General features: G+C 44.7%; 1 protein-coding gene across 11 annotated transcripts in view; it reads left to right on the top strand.

Moving 5' to 3' along the window:
- Positions 1 to 21,887, top strand: part of TTC28 (tetratricopeptide repeat domain 28) — a 701,827-nt gene that overhangs the window by 631,011 nt on the left and 48,929 nt on the right. For 10 of the 11 annotated variants that reach the window (NM_001393403.1, NM_001145418.2, XM_047441214.1 and 7 more), the window contains one exon: positions 18,464 to 18,604. In NM_001393403.1, the coding sequence (NP_001380332.1) occupies positions 18,464 to 18,604 (141 nt within the window). Of the gene's footprint in view, positions 1 to 18,463; positions 18,605 to 19,713; positions 20,007 to 21,887 lie in introns of those variants that run through there. The other variant, XM_011530020.2, reaches the window with a different exon arrangement.

Below are 21,887 nucleotides of genomic sequence, written 5' to 3'. Positions count from 1 at the left end.
AAGAGAATGGCCTAGGCAAGGCAGGGAGGTGGCCCACTGCAAGGTGTGTTTGTGGAATGGAGAGTGCTTGGTTCAGATGGAGCAGGCTTGTCTCAGGCAGTGATGGGAGATAAGATTTGAAAGCTAGACTGGTGTTAGATGACAGCAGTATTCACACCAGACTCTGCACTGTCCTCTAGGTGGTGGACAGCATATGTGGACTCAGGCAGTTAAGGCCTAATCGATGTGCTAGTTCTTGGAAGATTAATTTGAAAGAATTTATGTCTTTTATCTTAATGCCACGTCTGTGGTTTTGCTTTAGCTGTTTCTTAGCCCCACCCCGACCCAGATATCCTACACTGCCATCCTAACTTGCTCCAATCCTGGCTCATTCTTTCGTCTTAATTATTGCTGCCTCTGAGAGGACATAAAGGGTCTCCCTGAACTAGGTGGCACATCTCCCACCCCAAAGCTCTGTGACTCTCTGCATTAGACACTTGCTAGCTTCTGGCTTGTGCTAGAGGCATGTTTGTCTGCATTCTGCTCCTGTCCAGGGCTGAGAACTTCTGAGGGCACAGACTCTGACACTTGGTGGGATCTCTTATAGCATCTTGCACTTTACAGGGCCTCCAGGATATGTGGGTGAATGAGTACATTCCATTCTGGACACTTTAGCTTCCTCACCTTCACTTCTCAGAGGCCAGGAACCCCATTATGCATGGATTTACCCAAGCAGAAAAAAACCTCCTTACCCAAGCAGAAAAAAACCTCCTAGGTTGACAAGAATGGCTACGTGCCCCAGAGTCCTATTGCACAGGATGGTGGCTCTGAGTGCAGGGCCTCATTTTGAGGAGTGGAAAGGAGCAGGGCAGTTCTCTCCACAACTTTGAGCAACAGGCTTATTCCAGGAAAGGATCCAGGAAGAGGACAAGGTTGCCTCCCTTCCTTCATGCCTACCAGCAATATGATTTCCTGGACCAGAAGAAAAAACTGAGCCCAGGATATACTCTTGTTATCAACTAAGTTATGAGGCCACTGAAATCCCTCTTCCTCTTCACTTGAATATGGTCATATGCAGCAGCCAGGGTTTGTTCCATTGTTGCCAAGGAGAAGAGAGCATCACACTCACCTGGGCCTGCTTTGGGCTGGAAGCCTGCTGAGAGTAATGGGACAGGCCCACCTCCTCTGCCACCCACTTGATGCTATGGCAAGGGGATAGAGGGAGACGGGATCATTCTTGCTTGGATACATGGCTTTGCGAACTTTGGGCCTGTTAGATGGGTAGAGTGGAACCTTGCTTTTTGTGGGCGCTTTAGAGGGGCCCTGCGGCTTGCTGGACCCAGGTAGGTGCCTTTCTAGTCCTCCACTTTTCTTCTCAGCCCTTGGCGTCTGGCTGTGCACCTTCTATGGCCTCTCCAGGTGACTTTACAGGACAGAACTCAAGATGAGCTTTGCCTGCTCTTTCACATTTGGTCCCCAGGAAGCACTCTTGTATCCCTGACCCCAGTGAACTCTAGCAGCATAGGCTATCCCCTCCCTAGCCTCACCCTCCTGGCAGGGCAGAAGCAGGATGGGACAGTGAGACTCCACTCAGCAAGGGTCAGGCTTCAGTTCTGCATGTCTCTCCCCTGACTTCAGGGTGCACATTTCCAAGCTCTCTGAGTGGTATCCCCTGTGAGGTGCCATGACAACACCTCCTGTGAGGCTTGAGGTGGAACATGGTGCCCCCTCACTCCTCTCCGAAAGGGGCTGGGATGGGGACTCACTGTATGGTGGTAACTCTCTCCAAAGAAATCACCAGTTTCCTCATTCCCTTCTCTCTGGCCGTCTCTGACCACTGATCTAGGTGGAGACCCAAAAGTCCTGAGACAGGTTCTCAAAGCCATTTCCTATGTGCATCTGGACATGGGGAGGTGAGGCAGAGTACCTGTATCTGATATTTATTGCATTGACACCTCCGTTAAAGAGGTGCACACACACATACAAACACACATGCACGTATATCCACACATACAACAATCATGCAGCCTGTGTATATATTGCTGTGTGTATAGCCTATGTGTACAGGTAGCCTGTGTATATATTGCTGTGTGTGTAGCCTATGTTTACAGGCAGCCTGTGTATATATTGCTGTGTGTATATCCTATGTGTACAGGCATCCTATGTATATATTGCCATGTATATAGCATATGTATACAGGCAGCCTATGTACACAGTTGTAGTAGTGCTCACTTTGTGGGAGGAGAGAGGGGCTTTTACTTTTTTGCTTGGTTACCTTTAGAATCAATTTTAAATAGTCATGTACCACATAATGACGTTTTGGTCAACAATGTCATACACAATGGTGATCCTAAGAGATTACACTACCATATTATACTGTACCTTTTCTATGTTTAGATACACAAATACTTAACATTGTGTTACAGTTGCCTATGGTATTCAGTACAATAACATGCTCTAAAGGTTTGTAGCCTAGGAGAAATAGGCTGGTAGCTTAGGTGTGTAGTAGGCTGTCTCAGCTAGGTTTGTGCACCTGCACTCTCTGATGCTCACACAGTGATGAAATTGCCTAATGATGTGTTTCTCAGAACATGTTCCTGTTATTAAATGGCATGTGACTGTATTTGCCACAAGTATATTTTACTTTCAGAATTAAAAGAAAGTAGATGAAGTTACTACACTATTTTTTCTAGCCTATGGCATTTTCACTAAGGACAACACACATTGCTACTAAATATTGGTACAGCTAAAAATTTCATTAAGTACTTTTAATAACAACTTTCATTTGTATAGTCTGCCTTTTACAAAGAACTTTCATGTATGCTCTTGCCTGGGTCTCAAAACAGTTCTTTATAGTTGGGATGACTTTCTTTTCGTTTTTGAGACAGAGCCTTGCTCTGTCGCCCAGGCTGAAGTACAGTGGTGCCTTCTCGGCTCACTGCAACTTCCAGCTCCGCCTCCTGCATTCAAGTGATTCTCCTGCCTTAGCCTCCAGAGTAACTGGGATCACAGGCATGCACCACCACACCCGGCTAATTTTTGTATTTTTAGTAGAGACAAGGTTTCACCATGTTGGCCAGGCTGGTCTTGAACTCCTGACCTCAAGTGATCTGCCTGCCTTGGCCTCCCAAAGTGCTGGGATTACAGGCATGAGTCACTGCACCTGGCTGGGATGACTCTTTATTGGATATATCTGTATATGTGAGTCTGCATGTGTCTAATTCTTAGGTAAAACACATTCACAGAATTCAAAAAAGAAAAATGTCCATTGAGTTTACTGAGCACCTAGCAGGTGCCAGGTTCTATGTGATAGGTGCTATATACACTGACATTATTTCATTAATCCTATTATTATCTCTATTTTACCCATGAAGAAGAAAGGTTTGCTTCCCCTGAGTGCCATAGGTGATGTCCAGAAGGAATGTATCCTAGACTCCAGGCCTTGGGCTCTTTCTACTACAGGTTGAATCCCAAATTCAAAAATCCAAAATGCTCCAGAATCCAAAACTTTCACAGCGTCAACATGATGCTCAGAGGAAATGCTCATTGGAGCATGTCAGATTTCAGGTTTTTGAATTTGGGATGCTCAGCTGGTAAATATTCCAAAATCCAAAAAGATCAAAAATTCAAAATGCTTCTGGTCCCAAGCATTTCAGATAAGGATACTCAACCTGTGCTAGACAGCATTCATATTGGTTGAGTTGAGCCTTATCGATGTGATTAAACCTAATTGGTGGGGGAGAGGGTTTGAGAGCCACATCATCAGGGGAAAACTCCATTGCTAACACTTTCTCGGCAAAGATTTCAAAAATAAGACAACAAGTAATGGGGCCTTCCAATCGATTACAGTCATTGTGTATTCATACACACAGGCTATTGAGCTAACGGAAGTGAAACCTATTTATGGATTTGATCACTGTGTTTACTGAAAAAAGAAAAGCTAGGGGAAAACCTGTATTTCTCCTTTAACAAAGAAAAGCTAGGGGAAAACCTGTATTTCTACTTTAACACTTAAGTATAGACTAGATAATTCCAGGCCATGAGATAAAAAGGATGTGTACAAAAAATGCTTCTGAGTTAAAAATGCACAATTGTTCTGGATCCCAGAGGCCAGAAGGCTTTGTTGTTTTAAGAAAATTCAACCAAACACCACATGTTCTCACTCATAGGTGGGAATTGAACAATGAGAACACATGGACACAGGAAGGGGAACATCACATACCGGGGACTGTTGTGGGTTGGGGGGAGCGGGGAGGGATAGCATTAGGAGATATACCTAATGATAAATGACGAGTTAATGGGTGCAGCACACCAACATGGCACATGTATACATATGTAACAAACCTGCACATTGTGCACATGTACTCTAAAACCTTTAAAGTATAATAATAATAGAAAAAAAAGAAAAGAAAATGCTCTTAAGAAAGCATTTTGGAAGAGGACTTTTATCAGTTTAGCAAAGCACACAGAATTCATTGATTGTTCATAGGTGTGTTTTGTGTTCATGTGTGTATAGATTCTCGGCAGGTTAATGTATCGTTTGCCTTCCGACCAACAGAAGGTTTGTTCTATACATTACAGCTGTTAGATAATAGTATAAATTACAGACTTGAGAGGATACAGAGAAAAGCAATTTCTAAAGTGATGTACAAGAAGAGAAAGGAATTAAATCTAGCCTCATTCAAATATAAGCATTTCTAGAGAGACCAGTGAATGTATGATAGTGACTGACCTTCTGATGAGAAACTGTTCTTAGCTCCTGGCAGTGTCAACAGCAAATGCTGGAAGGGCCCCCACTGCTAGCCCCTACAGTGGGTTTGAACCAGTGGATCTGACTTCAGAGACGGTGCTGGCGGTACCACATTTTCTCTGGCATGATATTGGGCCCACTGGGAGGAATTTTCTGAGAAGAATGGCTTTCACTTGTCTCTGCCCTCATGGGTGGTTCTAGCACATCTTGCTCTGGTGTGCAGCTCATACTCTCTCTACCCACTGACTCTCCAACGTGCCCATAAGTTTGAATGATGCCAGAGCAATTAGAGAGCTGTGGCTTTGGGCAGTAAGGACACACAGGTCCCTGAGGACACATCTCCGCCCTGCCCATCCTCTCCCCCAACAGCAATCCTCCCCAAACCTTGCTTAATCCAAAGAGGGGGATTTCTAATAAGGTTATATGGGTGAGGAGTCCCATGAAATCCAAGGGCAAACTTGGAACACTAAAGGAAAGCTGTGGGAACCCCTGGGCTGTGGGAGGCAGTCTGGTTCTCATCACTGCTCAGCTGCTTCATTTGGCACCTCCCGCTGCAGACCTCCAGTTTGCAGCTGGAGGTGCAAACTGCTCTCTGCTCCTAATCCCAGAGTGGGAAAATAGCCACCTTGGATGGCTCCTGTGCTCACCCACAGCCTATAGAACTAGCCACAGAAGTTACATTCAGCTCCCCTGAATTCCAGTGCACAAATTTTGGGGAAAGGAATCTGACAGGCCAAGCTTGGGGCAGTAATACACGTCTGATACAATCACCAGTGCAGGAAGGATGGTCACCATATGTGACCCTGTGAATCAGGGAGGCAATATCTTTTCTTTTTTTTTTTTTTTTTTTTTTTTTTTGAGATGGAGTCTTACTCTGTTATGCAGGCTGGAGTGCAGTGGCGTGATCTTGGCTCACTGCAACCTCTGCCTCCCGGGTTCAAGCAGTTCTCTGCCTCAGCCTCCCGAGTAGCTGGGATTACAGGTGCCCACCACCATGCCTGGCTAATTTTTGTATTTTTAGTAGAGACAGGGTTTTGCCATTTTGGCCAGGCTGGTCTTGAACTCCTGACCTCGTGATCCACCTGCCTTGGCCTCCCAAAGTGTTGGAATTACAGGCATGAGCCACCGTGCCTGGCCCAGGGAGGCAGTTTCTAGAAGTAGAATGTTTATGGTCAGAGCTCGCTCCAAAGCTGTCTACTACACTGCCCCTTCTCCTCATCCCCAACGTGTAGCCTGTATTCCTGATTTAAAGACTCACATCGCTTCTCTGTTTCTTGGGTTCTTCTCCTATGTGAGGCAGCCCATAGAGTAGGATGTCTCCCAGCCTTTCTTTGCTATCCCTAAAAGGAAGCCCAGGCTCTTTTCTTTTTTTTTTTTTAATTTAAGTTCTAGGGTACATGTGCACAACGTGCAGGTTTGTTACATAGGTATACAACCCTGTTGGTTTGCTGCACCCATCAACTCATCATTTACATTAGGTATTTCTCCTAATGCTCTCCCTCCTCCAGTCCCCCACCCCCTGACAAGCCCCAGTGTATGATGTTCCCTGCCCTGTGTCCATGTGTTCTCATTATTCAACTCCAACCTATGAGTGAAAATGTGTGGTGTTTGGTTTTTTTGTCCTTGCGATAGTTTGCTTAGAATGATGGTTCCAGCTTCATCCAAGTCCCTGCAAAGGTTATGAACTCATCCTTTTTTTATGTCTGCATAGTATTCCATGGTGTATATGTGCCACATTTTCTTAATCCAGTCTATCATTGTTGGACATTAGGGTTGGTTCCAAGTTTTTGCTACTGTGAATAGTGCTGCAATAAAAATACGTGTGCATGTGTCTTTATAGTAGCATGATTTATAATCCCTTGGGTATATACCCAGTAATGGGATGGCTGGGTCAAACGGTATTTCTAGTTCTAGATCCTTGAGGAATCGCCACACTGTCTTCCACAATGGTTGAACTAATTTACACTCCCACCAACAGTGTAAAAGCATTCCTATTTCTCCACATCCCCTCCAGCACCTGTTGTTTCCTGACTTTTTAATGATTGCCATTCTAACTGGCATAAGATGGTATCTCATTGTGGTTTTGATTTGCATTTTTCTAATGACCAGTGATGATGAGCATTTTTTCATATGTCTGTTGGCTGTATAAATGTTTTCTTTTAAGAAGTGTCTGTTCATATCTTTTGCCCACTTTTCGATGGGGTTTTTTTTTTCTTGTAAATTTGTTTGAGTTCTTTGTAGATTCTGGATATTAGCCCTTTGTCACATGTGTAGATTGCAAAGATTTTCTCCCATTCTGTAGGTTACCTGTTCACTCTGATGATAGTTTCTTTTGCTGTGCAGAAGCTCTTTAGTTTAATTAGATCCCATTTGTCAATTTTGGCTTTTGTTGCCATTGCTTTTGGTGTTTTAGGCATGAAGTCTTTGCCCATGCCTCTGTCCTGAATGGTATTGCCTAGGTTTTCTTCTAGGGTTTTTATGGTTTTAGGTCTAACATTTAAGTCTTAAATCCATCTGGAGTTAATTTTTGTATACGGTGTAAGGAAGGGATCCAGTTTCAGCTTTCTACATATGGCTAGCCAGTTTTCCCAGCACCATTTATTAAATAGGGAATCCTTTCCCCATTTCTTGTTTTTGTCAGGTTTGCCAAAGATCAGATGGTTGTAGATATGTGGTGTTATTTCTGAGGCTTCTGTTCTGTTCCATTGGTCTATATATCTGTTTTGGTACCAGCACCATGCTGTTTTGGTTACTGTAGCCTTGCAGTATAGTTTGAAGTCAGGTAGCTTGATGCCTCCAGCTTTGTTCTTTTTGCTTAGGATTGTCTTGGCAATGCAGGCTCTTCTTTGGTTCCATATGAACTTTAAAGTAGTTTTTTCCAATTCTGTGAAGAAAGTCATTGGTAGCTTGATGGGGATAGCATTGAATCTATAAACTACCTTGGGCAGTATGGCCATTTTCATGATATTGATTCTTCCTATCCATGAGCATGGAATGTTCTTCCATTTGTTTGTGCCCTCTTTTATTTTGTTGACCAGTAGTTTGTAGTTTTCCTTGAAGAGGTCGTTCACATCCCTTGTAGGTTGGATTTCTAGGTATTTTATTCTCTTTGTAGTAATTGTGAATGGGGGTTCACTCAAGATTTGGCTGTTTGTCTATTATTGGTGTAGAGGAATGCTTGTGTTTTTTGCACATGGATTTTGTATCCTAAGACTTTGCTGAAGTTGCTTATCAGCTTAAGGAAATTTTGGGCTGAGACGATGGGGTTTTCTAAATATACAATCATGTCATCTGCAAACAGAGACAATTTGACTTCCTCTTTTCCTAATTGAATACCCTTTATTTCTTTCTCTTCCCTGATTGCCCCAGCCAGAACTTCCAACACTATGTTGAATAGGAGTGGTGACAGAGGGCATCCTTTTCTTGTACCGGTTTTCAAAGGGAATGCTTACAGTTTTTGCCCATTCGGTATGGTATTGGCTGTGGGTTTGTGGTAAATAGCTCTTATTATTTTGATATACATTCCATCAATACCTAGTTTATTGAGAGTTTTTAGCATGAAGGGCTGTTGAATTTTGTCAAAGGCCTTTCATGCATCTATTGAGGTAATCGTAGTTTTTGTCATTGGTTCTATTTATGTAATAGATTACATTTATTGATTTGCCTACATTGAACCAGCCCTGCATCCCAGGGATGAAGACGACTTGATCGTGGTGGATAAGCTTTTTTATGTGCTGCTGGATTCGGTTTGCCAGTATTTTATTGAGGATTTTCGCACTGATGTTCATCAGGGATATTGGCCTAAAATTCTCTTTTTTTGTTGTGTCTCTGCCAGGCTTTGGTATCAGGATGATGCTAGCCTCATAAAATGAGTTAGGGAGGATTCCCTCTTTTTCTATTGATTGGAATAGTTTCAGACTGAATGGTACCAGCTCCTCTTTGTACTGCTGGTAGAATTTGGCTGTGAATCTGTCTGGTCCTGGACTTTTTTTGTTTGGTAGGCTATGGGTTATTTCCTCAATTTCAGAACCTGTTATTGGTCTATTCAGGGATTCAACTTCTTCCTGGTTTAGTCTTGGGAGAGTGTATGTGTCCAGGAATTTATCCATTTCTTCTAGATTTTCTAGTTTATTTGCATAGAGGTGTTTATAGTATTCTCTGATGGTAGTTTGTATTTCTGTGGGATCCAGTGGTGATATCCCTTTTATCATTTTTTATCATGTCTATTTGATTCTTCTCTCTTTTCTTCTTTATTAGTCTTGCTAGCAGTCTATCAATTTTGTTGATCTTTTAAAAAAGGCTCCTGGATTCATTGATTTTTTTGAAGGGTTTTTTGTGTCTCTGTCTCCTTCAGTTCTGCTCTGATCTTAGTTATTTCTTGCCTTCTGCTAGCTTTTGAATTTGTTTGCTCTTCCTTCTCTAGTTCTTTTTTTTATACTTTAAGTTTTAGGGTACATGTGCACAACGTGCAGGTTTGTTACATATGTATACATGTGCCATGTTGGTGTGCTGCACCCATTAACTCGTCATTTATATTAGGTATATCTCCTAATGCCATCCCTCCCACCTCCCCCCACCCAACAACAGACCCCGGGTTGTGATGTTCCCCTTCCTGTGTCCAAGTGTTCTCATTGTTCAATTCCCACCTATGAGTGAGAACATGCCGTGTTTGGTTTTTTGTCCTTGCTATAGTTTGCTGAGAATGATGGTTTCCAGCTTCATCCATGTCCCTACAAAGGACATGAACTCATCCTTTTTTATGGCTGCATAGTATTCCATGGTGTATATGTGCCACATTTTCTTAATCCAGTCTATCATTGTTGGACATTTGGGTTGGTTCCAAGTGTTTGCTATTGTGAGTAGTGCCGCAATAAACATACGTGTGCATGTGTCTTCATAGCAGCATGTTTTATAATCCTTTGGGTATATACCCAGTAATGGGATGGCTGGGTCAAATGGTATTTCTAGTTCTAGAACCCTGAGGAATCGCCACACTGACTTCCACAATGGTTGAACTAGTTTACAGTCCTACCAACAGTGTAAAGGTGTTCCTATATCTCCACATCCTGTCCAGCACCTGTTGTTTCCTGACTTTTTGATGATCGCCATTCTAACTGGTGTGAGATGGTATCTCATTGTGGTTTTGATTTGCATTTCTCTGATGGCCAGTGATGTTGAGCATTTTTTCATGTGTCTGTTGGCTACATAAATGTCTTCTTTGGAGAAATGTCTGTTCATATGCTTTGCCCACTTTTTGATGGGGTTGTTTGTTATTTTCTTGTAAATTTGTTTGAGTTCTTTGCAGATTCTGGATATTAGCCCTTTGTCAGATGAGTAGATTGCAAAAATTTTCTCCCATTCTGTAGGTTGTCTGTTCACTCTGACGGTAGTTTCTTTTGCTGTGCAGAAGCTCTTTAGTTTAATTAGATCCCATTTGTCAATTTTGGCTTTTGTTGCCATTGCTTTTGGTGTTTTAGACATGAAGTCCTTGGCCATGCCTATGTCCTGAATGGTATTGCCTAGGTTTTCTTCTAGGGTTTTTATGGTTTTCGGTCTAACATTTAAGTCTTTAATCCATCTTGAATTAATTTTTGTATAAGGTGTAAGGAAGGGATCCAGTTTCAGCTTTCTACATATGGCTAGCCAGTTTTCCCAGCACCATTTATTAAATAGGGAATCCTTTCCCCATTGCTTGTCTTTGTCAGGTTTGTCAAAGATCAGATAGTTGTAGATGTGTAGCATTATTTCTGAGGGCTCTGTTCTGTTCCATTGGTCTATATCTCTGTTTTGGTACCAGTACCATGCTGTTTTGGTTACTGTAGCCTTGTAGTATAGTTTGAAGTCAGGTAGCTTGATGCCTCCAGCTTTGTTCTTTTGGCTTAGGATTGACTTGCCAATGTGGGCTCTTTTTTGGTTGCTTATGAACTTTAAAGAAGTTTTCTCCAATTCTGTGAAGAAAGTCATTGGTAGCTTGATGGGGATGGCCTTGAATCTATAAATTACCTTGGGCAGTATGGCCATTTTCACGATATTGATTCTTCCTGTCCATGAGCATGGAATGTTCTTCCATTTGTTTGTATCCTCTTTTATTTCATTGAGCAGTGGTTTCTAGTTCTCCTTGAAGAGGTCCTTCACATCCCTTGTAAGTTGTTTTCCTAGGTATTTTATTCTCTTTGAAGCAATCGCGAATGGGAGTTCACTCATGATTTGGCTCTCTGTTTGTCTGTTTTTGGTGTATAGGAAGGCTTGTGATTTTTACACATTGATTTTGTATCCTGAGACTTTCCTGAAGTTGCTTATCAGCTTAAGGAGATTTTGGGCTGAGACGATGGGGTTTTCTAGATATACAATCATGTCATCTGCAAACAGGGACACTTTGACTTCCTCTTTTCCTAATTGAATGCCCTTTATTTCCTTCTCCTGCCTGATTGCCCTGGCCAGAACTTCCAACACTATGTTGAATAGGAGTGGTGAGAGAGGGCATCCCTGTCTTGTGCCAGTTTTCAAAGGGAATGCTTCCAGTTTTTGGCCATTCAGTATGATATTGGCTGTGGGTTTGTCATAAATAGCTCTTATTATTTTGAGATACATCCCATCAGTACCTAATTTATTGAGAGTTTTTAGCATGAAGGGTTGTTGAATTTTGCCAAAGGCCTTTTCTGCATCTATTGAGATAATCATGTGGTTTTTGTCATTGGTTCTGTTTATATGCTGGATTACGTTTATTGATTTTCGTATGTTGAACCAGCCTTACATCCCAGGGATGAAGCCTACTTGATCATGTTGGATAAGCTTTTTGATGTGTTGCTGGATTCGGTTTGCCAGTATTTTATTGAGGATTTTTGCGTCGATGGTCGTCAGGGATATTGGCCTAAAATTCTCTTTTTTTGTTGTGTCTCTGCCAGGCTTTGGTATCAGGATGATGCTGGCCTCATAAAATGAGTTAGGGAGGATTCCCTCTTTTTCTATTGATTGGAATAGTTTCAGAAGGAATGGTACCAGCTCCTCCTTATGCCTCTGGTAGAATTCGGCTGTGAATCCATCTGGTCCTGGACTTTTTTTGGTTGGTAAGCTATTAATTATTGCCTCAATTTCAGAGCCTATTGGTCTATTCAGAGATTCAACTTCTTCCTAGTTTAGTCTTGGGAGGGTGTATGTGTCGAGGAATTTATCCATTTCTTCTAGATTTTCTAGTTTATTTGCGTAGAGGTGTTTATAGTATTCTCTGATGGTAGTTTGTATTTCTGTGGGATCCAGTGGTGATATCCCCTTTATCATTTTTTATTGCGTCTATTTGATTCTTCTCTCTTTTCTTCTTTATTAGTCTTGCTAGCGGTCTGTCAATTTTGTTGATCCTTCCAAAAAACCAGCTCCTGGATTCCTTGATTTTTTAAAGGGTTTTTTATGTCTCTATCTCCTTCAGTTCTGCTCTGATCTTAGTTACTTCTTGCCTTCTGCTAGTTTTTGAACGTGTTTGCTCTTGCTTCTCTAGTTCTTTCAATTGTGATGTTAGGGTGTCAATTTTAGATCTCTCCTGCTTTCTCTTGTGGGCATTTAGTGCTATAAATTTCCCTCTACACACTGCTTTAAATGTGTCCCAGAGATTATGGTATGTTGTGTCTTTGTTCTCATTGGTTTCAAAGAACGTCTTTATTTCTGCCTTCATTTTGTTACGTACCCAGTAATCATTCAGGAGCAGGTTGTTCAGTTTCCATGTAGTTGTCCGGTTTTGAGTGAGTTTCTTAATCCTGAGTTCTAATGTGATTGCACTGTGGTGTGAGAGACAGTTTGTTGTGATTTCTGTTCTTTTACATTTGCTGAGGAGTGTTTTACTAACGATTTTGTAGTAAATCAATTTTATTTTATTTTATTATTCAATTTTAGAATAAGTCCGATGTGATGCTGAGAAGAATGTACATTCTGTTGATTTGGGGTGGAGAGTTCTGTAGATGTCTATTAGGTCCACTTGGTCCAGAGCTGAGTTCATGTCCTGGATATCCTTGTTAACCTTCTGTCTCGTTGATCTGTCTAATATCGACAGAGGGGTGTTAAAGTCTCCCATTATTATTGACAGTGGGAGTCTAAGTCTCTTTGTAGGTCTCTAAGGACTTGCTGTGTGAATCTGGATGCTCCTGTATTGGGTGCATATATATTTAGGAGAGTCAGCTCTTCTTGTTGACTTGATCCCTTTAACCATTTATGTAGTGGCCTTCTTTGTCTCTTTTGATCTTTGTTGGTTTAAAGTCTGTTTTATCAGAGACTAAGATTGCAACCCCTGCTGTTTTTCTTTAGCCCAGGCTCTTTTCGTCTTAAAAGTTTACTAATTGTCAGTAAGAAAAAATAGACAGGAACTGGTAAGTAAGTCACACGGGAAAGTTTCAAAGGTCTCAGAAATCTAGAGTTCCCAAAGTCTCATGTCTTCATTTTCTGGCACTCTTGCTAAGTGGCTACTGGGAAAAATGGGTGGGCCTTTTCAGGTATTGGCAGACCGGCCCATGCAAAACCTAGTAAGTGCCCATGGTATTGTCATCTGTGCACCTTTTCAGATCCCCAGGATACCCTCTGCTTCCTGGTTGTAGAATCCGCAACATAGGGTGCTGGCACAGTTAGACCTGGCCTTTCAGAATCAGAAGGCACAAAATGATTATAGGCAGTGGCTGCAAATTCACTAACGCTTGCTTTCTGAAGTTTTACCAACTGCAAAAAGATCCTTGCTTTGAAAGAAGGAGCGTTTTGCTGCCTTTGATCTGTTTCCACTGGGCACGGGGCCAGCGGTGTAGGAGCTATCTCACTGCCCTGTGCACAGGAAACTGAAGATGGAGTTTCTCGCCTGTCGTTTTCAGCTTCAGGGTTGCAATTGGTTGGTCTTTGGCAAATAACTGGTTATCAGTGCACAAGAAGCCTGGAGGGGGGTGGGGAATGGAGACACAGTGAGTTAGTAAAAGGATGTTGAGACATAAATAAAAGTGTGCCTTGTGGAGCTTCAGTTGCAACTGTCAGGGGAATGGCAGGGAGCAAGCGTGTTCTTGGAGAGATCAGGTGGCCATGCTTGCAAATGAAAATCCTATCTGGAGCCTCTTGCCAAGCCCTGTCCCCAAGAACAGGATGAGCTCTGGCACAGCTCCAAGGTGCTTGATTCATGAGCCATTTCCATCTCTCTGGGGAAAGCTGCATATGAACAGCATTTTGGAGCCTGCCTCTGGTGACGGCATGATTTATATTCCCCAGAGCAGGCAGGATCTGGGCTTGTCACAGGATCCCTGGAACAGATGCTGGCAGGGCAGGTGGGTACCATGAAGCAGCTACTGCCTGCCTCTGGACTGCTCCCTCTCTCCAGCTCCCCTCTCAGCCCTCGCCAGGAGGTATACCTTGCTGCCCTCTGCTTAGGCCACCTTGTACTGACTTTGACCTTTTGCCCTCACTGTTCTTCATGACCGTAATAATCCAGACCTCAGCCTTCTACCTAACTCCAGACAGAAGACTAGGGCAGGGTCCAGCCAGGACTCTGGCTGATGGGCAAGTGCCAAGTTAGGCCCCTGGAACAAGAACAGAGTCCTCTTTTACCCTCCAGAGTCCAGGAGTAGAAAGGGCCCATGAAGGATGTCTGAGCCAGAATCTTCAGGTCCAGAGAGCCACGAGGGAAGGAGAAATCGATCGTGTGGCCAAGTCTGGAGGGCAAGAGAGGTAGGCAGGGCCAAGGGTCCAGAGCTGGGTAGACAGGAGTGGAACGTAAGCAGACTGGGAAGAAGACAGGCGGAATCTTAGCTTTTGGTGCCTCCCTAGCTTGCCAGTCCTGAGCAGCTGGTGTGCCAGGAGTGCCCTCCTTTTCCACTCTTCCTGCCTTGCCACCCAGCTCATGGGCCCTGTCTCCCTCGAGTTATCCTCTGCTGAGCTATGACCACCAGTTTTGTCTGCAAAGCCAATGTGTCTCTATTGTTTCTTCTCCGTTTCAGATCATGGCCATCAGAGTAGTGGCTAAAATCAGGCCATGAGACTAAATGCTTTAGGGGCTCTTTCTGCACAGCCACTATTTGTTTATTCACATTCTCATATTTCATTCCCTTCTCCTCTCTTTCTTTTCTTGCTGTCTCCCCTGCTCATCCTGTAATGATTGTCCATTCAGTCTTTCTATATACATACATGTACTACTATGTAATAATTTATTTTTCATGTTGCAGAGATTAGTGTGCATATCTAGCAGCTTCTTAGGGCGGAAGTGTTCCTCCTTTGAGTAATCCCAGCCCCAGCTGAGTGTCTGGGATGTACTGGTTGCACACTGAGTTTTTGAGGGTTGGGCAGCCTAATGACCACATGAATGAGTGAGGGGCACCAAAGCTTATCTTACTTTCCTGACTTCCTCCCAGGATTTGGGAATAGTAGGATTTATTTTGTTTTTTAAATTAACATACAGTATGTATCAGTCAGTATCAAAACAAGAATAAGAAACCACACAATAATTTGAACAGAGATAGTTTAAGATAAAGAATTGTTAACTCTAGTAGAGATTGGAGTAAAAGGGATTGGCTAGTAAGAAGGGAGAACTAAAGGATACTAGTCATACCAGATAGTAAGAGCCTTGAAGGCAGCTACAATGTGACCCTCATCTGTTTAGCCCCTGTAGTTCTTACACATGGGTCCTACCCAGTAATCATTGTTGAAGCAATGTGAATTGAATCAGGGCCTATGGTGACCAGATGTGCCATCTCTAGAAAGTCACTCAGAGAAATGGGTGCAGGAGAGTGAGTGTGCTGTGAGGATTGGTGGCAAGGCACTAGGGACTCCTACTATATAGATATGAGGCTTGTTTTGTAAATGGGAGATTCCTTTATCTGTGACATCGCCTGCTTGTTGTTCCCTTCGGTGTTAATACTTTGAAGGGTCAGGAAATAGGAAACAACCCCATTAAGCAGGAGATACTGAGGGCTCAGTCTGTGGCTGACAGTAAGAACAGAACTGCAAGATAATGGAGGCTGATACCGGTCCCAGGCAATTCTTCTCCCCTTTGCAAAGGCTGAATGATAAGCCGATTTCTCAGCTCCAAGCAGGCAGTTGCATTCAGATGATAAATGTGTCCCTGGACAGAGGAGCTTGTTGAGTAATATTTACCAGGGTCTCTGTGAAGGGCCTTCAGCTCCCAAAGGAGCCTTTCAAGCCTTCACCTGCCTGCCTGTTCAGCTGACATCCATGAGGCAGTGAGAGGAATAAAAGCTCTCCAGCATGATGGGAGCTTGGTGATTTGTTTCGATGCTAGAAGTTTCCTGGTTTCTCCTAATTCCTGTATTCAGCCCCTGCCTGTTGAAGTCAAACCCCAGGAGAGAAGCATAGAGTCTGTGAGAAGCTTAGAGCCTTTTAGGGGGAGGGGGAGGGAGGTCAGTGAGTGCCACAGATCTGAGCTGGACTCAGACCCAGCTCTACCACCTAGTACTCTTTAGCCCAGTTCCTTGGCTTCTCCAAACCTCTGTCACCTTAGATATAAGGTAGAGATAATAAGAGCTACCTCACAGAGTTGTCATAGAGATAAAATTAAATCTGTGTAAAAATACTTTGCACATTATAAAATTCTCTCCAGCATAGGTCATTCATTCATTCAGCAATTCCCCGTTGCATACCTGCTGCATGCCAGGTACTGCGCTGTGTTTAAAGAGCCATTTCCAGACTATGAAGGCTGGGGAGAAAAGCAGGCTAATAGCCAGGACTTTACCAGTCATCAATGTGGTTCTGAGATAATTACTAGATGTTTTTATCTGGGTTTTCCAGAGAAACAGAACCAATAAAAGAGATATATATATACAAACACACACATATACACACACACACACACACACACACACACTATATATATATATATATTTTATATATATATATTTTATATATATATATTTTATATATATATATTTTATATATATATATTTTATATATATATATATATATACACACACTAAGTAGATATAAATAGGATGTGCTTGTATATTTATTTATTTATTTTTATAAAGAGATAAAGGAAACTTATTATAAGGAATTGGTTCATGTGGTTGTGGAGGCTGAGAAGCCCCAGGATCTGCCACAGCAAGCTGCAGACCCAGGAAAGCCAGTAGGGTAAGTTTCAGTTCAAGTCCAAGCCTGAAGGCAAAAGATTGATGCCTTAGGTTGGTGACAGTGCAGAAAGAGCAAATTTTCTCTTTCTCTACTTTTTTGCTCTATCCAGGCCTTCAATGGATAAGCAGATGAGGCCCACTCACACTGGGGAGGGCAGTCTACTTTACTCAGTCTGCGAGCTTAAATGGTAATCTCATCTAGAAATACCCTCACAAACACATCCCAAATAATGTTTAACCAAATATCTGGGCACCCTGCAGCCCAGTCACGTTGACATAAATTTAGCCATCACACCATGGTTGGTGTTCACATAGAGCATTCAAGTTTGCATAGCAGCTTTACCTGCCATGTCTCATTTGGCCCCCAGAATGAGGGGCTTATTTCCCTTCTCTGTCACAGGTGTCGCCAGCTTGGCCATTTGAAGTGGGTCATGTTTGTCCTAAACCCAAATCTGTATGCACCAAGCCTTATTCTTCTCAGCGACAGGAGGTCTGCCCCTTTCCAGAGTCCCACCTGCCTAGCACATGAGGGGCTTGCGACTCTGTCTGCTGCCTGCAGTGCCCTGGTGCCCTCCACTTCTTCACACCGGTCCTTAGTAGGAAGGTCTGAAAGTAGTTTTCCTGTGGGCTTAGAGTTATCTGGGGGCGAGGTATCAGTAAGCATCTCCACAAAGTCTGAATGTGGTCCTGATGCCTAGGATAGGTGAGGGCTCAACATAGAGATGTGCCTTTGTGAGCCTCAGTTGGTTGGGAGGCATGGTGTGGCATGGAGGAGGATGGCTGCAGGCTGGCGGCACTCCCACAGACACATTTGCCCTGGCCTGGCTGTCCGTGTGTCATCAGGGCACACAGTGCATGGCTTTTACATTTAATAAGCCTTTTGCCATTTTAATCATGCTGATGAATCAAGGTACTCCTGGGTATTTCTGTTTACTTAAAACACATTGTGGGATGTTCTGTTAAAGTCTGTCATAGGGGAAATATGAATTTATTAATTCAAAAATGGTCACCTCCTCATGCTGAGCTTGGAAAATGGGCCAAATCAGCGGCAGTTCTCAAGTTTGCGTTTCCAGCGGTGCCTGCCCTGCTAGCATTGCAACCACTTGTCAGCATGTTTGTCTCCTCATCTGGAAAATGCCGTTTTAGGCTGCATGTCCCCCTTGCCTAGGACAGTACCCAACACAATGTAGGTATTTAGTTACTGTTTCTGGAATGGACTGGACTGCAGCTTGTGCAGGGAGGACTGCCTCACAGCTGCACTTGCCTCAGCTGTACGCTGGGAAGAGTGCCTGACCAGCCCATCACAGACAGCACCTCATCTAGTCTGTCATACATAAGCTAGGTGCTGGGAATACAGTTCTTATTCAGACACAGCTGCTGCCTGTAGAGAGTTCACAGCAGAGTCGGGGGTGACAGCCCATAAACAACCAACCAGAGTTCATCTTGAGAAGCAGTGGACAAAAGAAGTTCAGGAAGAGGGCCTCAGGGACACTGAGGAGGGAGTGGGGTGATGCTGTCATCTGGAGACAACGGTACTAGAGGTTCGTTTGGTGACAGAATGGCATAGGACCTCAGAGCTGACTTCCATAGCTCAGCGCTTCCTTTCTCTGATTGGCTTTTTCTGCAATTTTTCCTGCAGGGCCTGTGCCAGCAGTGAGACAGAGAGTGAAGCGGGAGACATCATGGACCAGCAATTTGAAGAGATGAACAACAAACTCAACTCGGTCACTGACCCCACTGGCTTTCTGCGGATGGTTCGCCGCAATAACCTGTTTAACAGGTGAGTGTGGGGCGCTTTCCCCAGGCCCAGTGCAGGGCAGGGTGCTCTGAGCACAGATAATATGCTTTCAGTGGATGCTCCTTCCAGCTGGTTAGGCTTCTGGCTCGTGTCATGCATTTGCAGCAGCAAGCATGATGCTTTCACAGCCCCATGCCCGTCAGGGCCTCTGCTTCACAGCAGCATCTCCAGCTCAAGCGAGAAAACAGTGACAGGCTTGATGTGACAATCCTCATTTGGCTGGGATAGGAGTCCCAGGGGATAGTTGGCTGCTTCTTCACATAGCCTCAGAGCTGACTTTCCAAACATCAGGCAGAAGCCAGAGCAACTTCACATACTTCTTTGCCAGCTTCTGCAGGTAACTCCTGGGCCAGGTACCTGCACTGACTTCCTGGCCTGAGATTCGGGGAGGTCAGGGAGAGTGAGAATGCTAGTGCTGTTGGAGGGAGAAACTGGGCCTAGGAATGCACTCATCCAGACCCAGGCTCACCCGTCTGTGCCAAGACCTCAGTTCCCTGTCACTTGACCAAATAGGCCTTAATGGCTTTAAGATGAATCGAGTTTGAAATTTCCAAGCCAGCACACCCCTTCATCTTTTTCTTAGGAGTGACACCTGAGCTGGGTCCGGATAAACAGGGCAGGCGGTTGGGGTTGAGGGACACCTGTCCCACTGTTGTTTGGTTGCCTGGCAACAACCTAGGAGTACATTTTGATAGACCTCTTTGGAAAGATATCACAGACTCCCTAGGTCCCTGCCACAGCCTGAAGGCCTGCCTTTAAAGGGCAGCTGGTTGACCCTAGAACACAGGCAGGAAGTGACTGTGCACTGGGTGGGAGGCAGCCTCTGCTTGGCAGCCCTGCTGTGCAGGGCATTGTGCGCCCTGTCTGTTCCTACTCCAGGCCCTGGTTTCCTCTCATTATTGTGCTGTCAGGGTGACAAATGTGTGTTGACTTTCCCAGGGCTGAGTTGAGTGGGAAGGGAGCCAAGGGCAGGGGATGTAGGAGCTGGCAGCCTGGTTGTAAGGAGGCCAAAACTTCAAGCTAGTTCACCCTTAGTTCCTTCTTCCCAGCCACCTTCACAGGTGTCCCTCATGGCTTTTGGTTTCATGTAGGGATGCAACCAGGTTTGCGGAGGCCTGGGATTGGGCCTGGACACATGTTCTTGCTCTGCCAACTTCTCAGCCAGTGAAGGCAGGTGACACTTACCTCCACCAGGTGATGCAGGCTGTGGTGATAAACTAGAGTGTGAAGAGCTCAGAGTGCAGCCTCTGGCCTTGCCACTCACAAGCTGTAGGACACTAGGGAGGCAGTTTCACCTCTGTCAGCCTCAGTCTCGTCATCTGTGAAATGGGGATGGCTTCTTACCCTGCAGGGTTCCTGTAATGTGGGAATAAAGGAGCCAATGTATAAATAACACACTGACCGACTTAATGTGTGGAAGGCACTGAACAACTGGTGGGTTTCTGTTGTTTGGAGTAAAGTGGGAAGAATAGTGCTAAACTTAAATTCTTAACATGGGTGGAGAAACTTTGGAAGGGATGAGACGTCTGTGTGCCTATGCAGCAGCTGTTGGCCATCTTGGGTTGTAGCCTCCCTCATCCTTCTTCCCTTCCTACCTCAAGTCCTTCACAGGAGAGAGCTGCCAAAGCAGACAGTCAGGCATCCATGGTGACCTGGTTGCAGGCACTCCAGCAGTCAGGAACCAGTTCCCCCAGGACCTCAGCACTATGGAAGAAAAGGGTCAAGCCAGGTATATCTAGGGCCCTAGCTTATTAACCCTAGGCTTGGGGTGCTGTGCACTTTGAATGGTGGAGTGCTCATTTTGGAAAGATGGTTTCTGTCCTGAGCAGCCCTGCAATAGCTCCAGTGAGCACAATGCTGTAGATTAATTTGTTGGTTCACTTATACAACACAATCTCCGCCCCCAGCCAGGCTGAGTATTGTGCCCAGCCCTGGGGACTGAGTGGGGAGCAGCAAGGCCCACAGCCCCGGAGCTTGCACCCAGCTCCCTTGGCAAGGCCTGACCCAATCCAGTCCCACCCTCAGAAAAGCAAAGAAATTGAAGGGGTCTCTGCAGACTCTTCCAACCCCGACCCTTTGGATGAGGGAAATAGCCGGCGTTCTTCTCGCTTCAATGTGGTAAGCCCTTAAGGCCCAGGAAAGTTTGCAACACTGCGTGTTCTCTGGCGCCTCTCTCACAAGCCAGGAAGGGGGGTTCTGGCCTTCATCCACAAGAGAGTGGAGCTACAGCTGAGGGAACCACAGAGGCAAAGGTATCCTTGCTAGAACAGTGCAAACTTCCCTGGCACTTTCAGTGCAGCCTCATGTCTTATAGCTGAGCACACATAGGCCAGAGAGGAGGGAGATCTGCCCATGAACAGGTGCCAAAACATGCCTCGCAGCTTCCCTGCCAGCCTGTCCCTGCCCTGCTGTGGGGTCCCAGGCCTCCCTCTCTGTCCCATGTATGGCCAGGGATCTGGGCTAAGAGTGCACTGGCTTGTGACTGAACAGAGCGGCTAGAAGTGGCTTTTCTGCAGATTGCTGATAGTGGCTAGCGTTTGCAGAGTCCTTGTAGCCTGGAGCCAACAGAGGTGATATGGAAGCAACCATGTGTGTAGGGCCTTGTGTACTGGAGCAGTAAGGGCTTCCCTCTCCGGGGGCTCTCCAGCTCAGTGATTTTATGGATTCCTTGGCCCCTTTGTTCCTTGGTGGTTTGCTGGACTGATTTGGCAATGAGGCCTCTGTAGCTAATGCGAGTCAAGTGAGACTTGGCTTTAGGTTTTTCTCCCTTGCCACTTCAGGAATTGCTCTTTGTTCTGCTGTCATTTTTGAGGTCTCGGCAATCACTATTTTTCTTCTTGCCTATTGGCAGAAAACACATGTGCATTTTGAACCCAGGGTAGGCACTGCTATTGAATGAAAAACAAAGACCCTTCTCTTGGCCAGCACCCTGACCTTGGTGTGAGCCCCAGAGGGCAGAGCAGCAGCCCTACCCTTTGGGAGTGACGCGGAGGACTGGTAGGCCAGCACATGCATGTAAGTGTCTGTGTGTGTGTCAGGGGAGGTTCTGTGGGAATGTATGTATGTATTTGTATGTGCAGGGTTGTATTTGTGTGTGTGTGTTTGTGTGTGGTATGTATATATGATATGTGTGTATGTGACTGGACCTGGGTCAGTCAGCAGATCACATTTGCTGTAGAAAAGACGAAGAAGAACAGGACAGGCTTTTGACTGCATCCTGGATCCTGGACTACAGGGACTGCGTTGGTATTAAGTAAGGTGCACC

Source organism: Homo sapiens, chromosome 22 (genome assembly GCF_000001405.40).
Source record: "Homo sapiens chromosome 22, GRCh38.p14 Primary Assembly".
Taxonomy (NCBI): Eukaryota; Metazoa; Chordata; class Mammalia; order Primates; family Hominidae; genus Homo; species Homo sapiens.
This window is presented reverse-complemented; position numbering and strand designations above follow the sequence as displayed.